The following is a 7,222-nucleotide window of genomic DNA, read 5'->3' on the forward strand; positions in this document are numbered from 1 at the left end:
TAGTCCTTACAATATTAGTATTGTCCCAAATTAACAAGTGAGGAAACTGAGCAAATTAGGTCACTTGCCCTATGTCACACGCATGAGATGGCAAAGCCCGGGTTTTACTCCAGGCATCTGGTTCCAGAGGCCATGTGTTTCAGAGGGACACATCCCAAAAAAAATGACCTATAATAGCACTAATCTTCCATAGATAAGGAATGCTTAATCTATAAAGATATATATATATATATATATATATATATATATATATACACTATATATGTAAAACAATCTTTTAAAAAAAGTACATGGTAAAAGACTATATGATACCTACACAGACATATACACAAATGAGAACAGTTGGAAGTATTCCAAATTCAGAGGGAACAACGAAAGGAGCTAAAAAAGATAAGTAAATAATAAAAGGAAAAAATGGAATGAAAACTAACTGGCAAAAAATCTTAAAAGTAAAAATTGCAATTTAAACCACATCTTAAAATAAAAATGAGTGAACCAGAATTTTCTCTTGAAACAAAATCGTGTCCTAAGCTCCTATAGATGGATATAGGAGGCATCCAGCAAGCATTTAAATAAAGGAGGAGGGAATGAATGCAGGAAGGATGAAAGCACAATATCCCTTCCAAGAACATATTCCTAAATATGTTCAGAAAATCATCAAAGAGGAAATACTAATTACTGATTACACATTTTTATAATCCACCACTTAATAACTATTTGAGAAAACAAGTATAAATGTAAGTTAGCAGGCTAGTTCTCCAGCAGGCGTTTCTTCGAAAGACCTGAAGCCAGTGTGTTCTTCACTAATAGTTATGCCGTGTCTCTACCACTGATCAGTTTCTTTGAAATTCTCTCACTAATTCCGTCTCAATCTGCTGCTATTTCACATGTGAACTAGTTTTCACATCTCCCAGTTATTACATTGTTCTCTCCTCGTAAGATAACAACTTTAAAAAATTCTCATGATTGCTTTAAGCTCCAGCTACCATCTACCAGCCAACTTTCGCATTTCTCTTGAAAAAGTTTTCTGCTGTATAAATATGCTCCTATTTTCATACTTTTGTACCCCAAGTCTTCTCTTTGTTTGAAAATAAGAAGAACACACATTTCTAAAGTGCCTCGATAGAAAGTAATCTCTTTGAAAGTCGGAGCCGCGTTTGACCCACGCTTAGAACAGGACCTTGAATTTTGACAAACCTGCAAAAATTTACCAACCATTTACATTCTGCCTTATACTCTAGGAATGCAGTAAGTATTTATCCAGGTAAATGTTCAGCTCAATAAGCACCAAAACTACTCAGTATCAAAGCAAGTGAGCACGCTTTTAAACCGTGCACCCTAACAACTCAAATTCACCTCCATTAACTTAAATAATATTCAGCACCGTGCAAATGCATTTTCTCTCCCGTCTCTTCTTCTGAGACTGATTCCTTCAATGGCATTGCCGAAAGTGTATACAGCTCTGTAGAAAGACAAGTGTTTGAGTACTTCATCCAGAGAATCCAGCAGTTTATTTCTTATCTGCAGCATTATTTAACTGCACTAAAAATCACAGAGATATCACATACAGCGCTCAGGTTCCTGGTCACCTTGATTATTTGAGAGGGGCAGAAGTGAGGCTGCTGATCATCTTCATGAAGAGGCAGAGATGGCACCAATGATACCGTGCAGAGTTCTGTGCATTCATAAAAACGCTTCTTTAACAACAATCCACTAATTGCCTTTTTGGTACTAGAAAACTCTAAAGGAGTATGTGAGTTTCCTTTTTAGAAGAAAGGGTATTTCTGTCAGCGAGGCAACTTACAAATATGTAGAAAAAAGGGAAAGCTTAAGGCACCTTGTAAAGATCTTACCATTCATTTCAGTTATTCTGTTGATTATTTTTAAAAGGTGCTAAGGAAGAATGGGCAGAATGAGCTCCAAAGACTCTGTGGAGATTTAAAGTGACTTCCAAGGCATGATAGTTTTCAGTGTAGATGCTTTTTAAAACAGAACCATCAAATGGCAGTAAATATTAATAGAAGGAGGTCTAATCTAGGACTATTTTATCCTAGGTTAACTCCCAAAATTGCCAAGAGAAAAATGATGCTGAAGGCAAGCAAAAGTAAGCTCTATCTTATCTGTGATTAATTTAACACTGAAAATTCCTGCCAGAAATACTTTCTTACGAAATGAATAGCTGGAGGAACGAAAGATCAGACAAATTCAATCATGTATTTGAGAGTCTGAAACTACTGTCATAAGATTTACAGGGGATTCTGGGAATTACTTTGACATATTTGTAAAAACTTAGGGTTCATAACAATGTACTATACAAACCAAGATAGAAAGTCATAGAAAACTGAACAACAGCTAAGAATACAAGGGGGAAAAATCAATAAAATGTCTCTAAAGTAAAAAATTGCCTTGAATCAGTAATTTCAAATATTGTGGAAAGCAACAGGAGGGAAACTACAGCAGCGCCAACAAGAAACCTCTCGGCTTGGAGATCGCATGAAGTGGGGTTAGCTTGAAATCATTTTCCAAGTCTGTACAGTACAAGTTACGTCGTAGGTTTTTGAATGGTAGCCTGCTTGCCCAAGGAAGCTACTGTAGCTTCTAGAGCTGATTCACTTAAAATTAGAGAACAGCTGAATATCGAAATAATCAGTCTTTAAATCTCAGGCCTTCTTGCTGCAGAGAGATAATGGTTGTTACAAAAGGGAAAACTCAGACAATGGAGATTTTGTGTATTTTGCATAATGTCACAAATGGGAATTAGATTCTAAACCTTCCATTTCTGGTTGATTTCACTGTTTTCCAGTTCATATTGTCTACTTGTTTTTTTTTTTAAACATACACTTAAAAAATAAAAACAATCTAAAAAGAACTAATCACCAGATGCGTACTAGCATTAACATCATAATACTATTATTTGTACCTCATAATGATAGATAGGTGGGTAGGTAGGTGGATGGATGGATAGATGGATGGATGGACGGACGATGGGTGGCTGGATGGATGAATGGGTGGTTGGACGTATAGGTGGGTGGATGGGTAGGTAAGTGGACTGATAGGCAGAATCTAAGTTTATCCTTCTAGTATCCCTGTAAGAAAAGTGGCATCTTAAACAGCCGTGGTACATCCGAGACTTGAACCAGATCTCTGAGGCCCAAAGTCCACATTCACTCCGTACTCTATGCATCCTCTCTGAGTGGTAATGCAGAATGAATAAATATAACATTCTATAGAGACCTGAAAGCAACAAGTGCAAGAGAGGCTTCACACAGAGTCAGCCATCCAGCCATAGAGCCATTCTGGGAAACCATTTTTAAAAACATATACTGACAAGTTTACCCTACTGTGCACACAGATTAAATAATAATAATAATAAACTGCTTTTGACAGGTATCTTTCTAAAATGTATCATATCCCTGTCTTCTTAAGTAGAACACACCACTCATGATGACATCTCTCGCTGATGAATCAGGTGATGATAATACATATGTTGCTGCACTGTGCTGCTTTCAGGAGCCGTGAATGGTGAGCAGGGCTGTTCACATCTTCACAATGTAAGCACAAAAGGTTGTGCTTGTTCTGTTTCTCAGATCTGCATTTAATGAGTCTATTTCAACCCATACTGCTTGCTATTATGTGCTATTTCTTTAAATGTGTCAATCTTCCTCCTAATTTCCTGCTCATAATCTACAGGGACCTAGACACCAGTATCACAGTTTTGTGGCACTCTAAGTTAGAACAAATCCGCTGTAGGTGAGAGCCTGTCATTTTTGCTAATTTCCATTTATTGGCTGTACTCTACCTCAGTTAGATTGCCAGATAATTGAATTTTGAATAGGCAAGATAGTATTGTATTCTTGCCTGATATTTTGTAAAATAAGTTTTATTTAAGTATAATGTACATATAGAAAAATGCACGAATCATAGGTCTATAGTGCAATGATTTCCAGCAAACAGAGCACGCCCTTGTTAGGTGTACCCAGAAAACAAACAAGCCAACACAGTATTACGTGTTTTATCCTTTTCAAAGTATTCTCATATGCGCCACTTCACTACAGTCATTGCAACACTCTTATGAGGCTAAGCGGTTGGGTATTACCTGCAATTCAACAAATGTGGAAAATGAAGTTTGGTATTTAGCTTCACTGATTTCTGAAATCAGAAGGAGCACAGCAAGGATCTAATCCTAGCGTTCCATTGCGGGAATCGTCCCTTATGCTATCAAATTTACTCAGAAGATATGATATGGTAGCTTCACTTCTATTATCAAATTGTGGACAAGAGTAGAGCGAATATTCTGTTGGCACCACAGATACCAGTGGTTGTCTGCAGCCTGCGTCGGCTGTGGCTGTCCACTGTCCCCGCCATGCAGATTGTTAGCCATTTTTAATTTATTCCCTGGGAAGTCAAATGTCAACACAGTCCCTTGAGGAGAGGAAGGTGGCATAAATCACCACAATTATACCAAGCTTTCCAAAGGAAAGTGATGGTTCAAAGCCTAGATGCCTTCACATTGTCATTTCTTCCATTCTCTTCTTCCCAACATTTCATCCTTAAAGCCAACAAAATTAATTTAGCTGAAATGAGAGGTCTGAAGATCATCAAAACTTTTAATAAGCATACCAAAACTTATATTTGAATCAGCTATCCTTATCACTGTTTCAAATTACCATCCATTCCAGAAATCCTCAAATGGCTTGAACCGCACATATAAACAAAAAATCCCTATTAGAAAAATATGGAACTTCTAAAGCTGTGCGGATTAAAGGTCACTAAGGGTCTCCCATGCAGCTACAGGAATATCCTCTTAAGAGCACGTCTTAGCAAATAAAATACAAAGTGAGTGTAAGGAGTTCTTAAGTTCTTCTTCAGAAAACACAAGAAGTAAAATTGTTCAGGCGTGATCATTTTTTACTTTTTATTTTATTTTATTTTTTTGAGATGGAGTTTCACTCTTGTTGCCCAGGCTAGAGTGCAATGGCACAATCTCTGTTCACTGCAACTTCCGCCTCCCGGGTTCAAGCGATTCTCCTGCCTCAGGCTTCCAAGTAGTTGGGATTACAGCTGTGGGCCACCACATCCAGCTAATTTTTTGTATTTTTAGTAGAGACGGGGTTTCACCATGTTGGCCAGCTGGTCTCGAACTCCTGACCTCAGGCGATCCACCCACCTCGGCCTCCCAAAGTGCTGGGATTACAGGCTTGAGCCATCGCGCCCAGCCGTGAACACTTTTTAAAGGTTCTGCAGGATTCAAACTTCCCAAATGCTGCAGGTGTTGACAGCAAGGAAGCAGGGCGAGCTCTGGAGGCCAGCTCTGGGAATTCAACCGGGCTCACACCTACAGTCCCTGGGAACAATCTGCAGCCCCAGTTTCTCCTCTGTAAGGCGAGTTGACCACGGCGCCACAGCACAAGGCTGCACTAGGATTCAATTAACCCAGTGCTCACAACCTGTTTGGTCCAGAGAAAGTCGTTTTTATTGCTAGGAAGGAAAGAGCCTCTTCTCGAAGGCAGAATTCCTCCAGTTTATATCAATCACCTACGAAGTGAGCTTATTCAATTTACTGACTCAAACTCAATTCATATTACTAAGTGCTTAACTAACTAATTCTCAAACTACAAACCGTAAAAGCACTACTGGGGGCGGGTGGGGGAGGCAGGGCAGGGGTGAGCCTCCCCAAAAGGAGCTAAGCAAAATTAGAGCTTTTCTTAACCACCTGGTTAAAACGAAAATATTGATCTTGGCAGACATGTTAAGTGCACGTTTCGTTCCCCGCCCCTTCTCCCAAAAGTGCCTCCAAATAAAAAACTAGTTTCTTCAGAGAACCAAGCATCTAATCATCACTCAGAGGTCTGAACATCCAGCATCCTAAGAACAAAGTGTCCACAGGTTCCCACCAGAACAAACCAGTTCAATGCATTGCTCGGAGGAAAAAGCAAGTTAACTCAAGCACACAATTACCTGTAGTTGCATATTATACGTAAGTGTACTCTTTCCTGCTCACGCCTGGCTACCTGCCTACTCTAACACAACAACTTCCGTTTTTAAAGTGTCAACTTGTTTACTTGGAGGAGCCGCCGCCTGCCGGACACAGCACGTTTGGGAGCCTCTCTTTCCACTGTAGGCTCGTAACTGCAGACTACTCCCGAACAACAAGACCACGGCGGCTGCTCCATCATTTTGCCAGCTTCTATGTTTCCATATTTTAACAATGTTGGGAAAACTAAATCACATGTTAAGACCAAGCAATTGATCAGTTCGTTGCAGAGGCTGCTTGAGGAACTTTCTGCAGCCTGGACCTGAGGCTTCTCAATCTAATAAACCTCAGACAGGACAACCAGACGGGGGTGTCCCCATAGGAAAGAGAACCCGACTCTGGTGGAGTGTCCCACCTCTTAGGGGCTGTGACTCCGCGCCTTATGAAAAGGCACTTTCAACGGGCAGGCTGGAGAAGAGTCCTCTCTAACAGGAAAAATAACTCCAAGTCCGCAGTGTTTAGGAAAAAGAACCAAGTGCTTGGGGAAGGCTGGCTGCCCGCGGAGAGGCGCTGCGTCCGGAGCGCTGGCCCAGGGGAGGCGGCGCGGGCCCTACCTGCGTTCCTGAGCTTCTTGTTCCGATACACCGACAGGATGACCAGGAGGTTGCCCAGGATGTCCACCACGATGGTGAAGATGAGGACGCAGGCCAGGGCGGACGCCAGCCACGAGGGCCGCGCGCCGTCCCCGCGGAGCACGGGCTGGGAGGCGTTGGGCAGCGCGCTGCCGTTGCCCTGCATGGTCCCTGTGCGCGTCCCGGCCGCGGGGCCATCGCCCGCCTCGTCCGCCCGCCCGACCACTTGTTAAGGCTCCGCCCGGCGCTCCCCGCGCCCACGCCCCATCCCGCGCGCTCCTCCACGCCGCGCCCCCGGACGCCCACGCCGCGCCGGACGCCACGGCCAGGTGACACCTGGTGTCCGCCGCGAGCCCGCTTGGATTCCCCGCCCGCAGCTCGAACCCCGCACCACGGGCCGACAGCGCCCCGGTGCGGGAAGCCGGGCCCAGCCGCCGCGCCCTGGGGACGGTGTCCCAGAGGCCTCTCCTCGTGGGCGCACGGCGAGGCCGTTCATTGTGTTTCCTCTCTGGGATGGGACTTTTCACCCAGCAGGGCCAGGCTGCCTGGGATCAAATGCGAAATGGGATTGGGGCGAGTTCACCAGCTGTGTGCCCCACCGCCCTTATCTTCCTTA

General features: G+C 43.0%; 1 protein-coding gene across 1 annotated transcript in view; it reads right to left on the reverse strand.

The window, feature by feature from the left end:
- The window catches only part of MTNR1A (melatonin receptor 1A), a 21,913-nt gene extending 14,939 nt beyond the window's left edge, over positions 1–6,974 (reverse strand). The window contains exon 1 of the mRNA NM_005958.4: positions 6,589–6,974. Coding sequence (NP_005949.1) covers positions 6,589–6,772 — 184 coding nt within the window. The 5' untranslated portion in view covers positions 6,773–6,974. The remainder of the gene's footprint in view (positions 1–6,588) is intronic.
- Between the last annotated feature and the right edge of the window lie 248 nt (positions 6,975–7,222).

Source organism: Homo sapiens, chromosome 4 (assembly GCF_000001405.40).
Source record: "Homo sapiens chromosome 4, GRCh38.p14 Primary Assembly".
Lineage (NCBI taxonomy): Eukaryota > Metazoa > Chordata > Mammalia > Primates > Hominidae > Homo > Homo sapiens.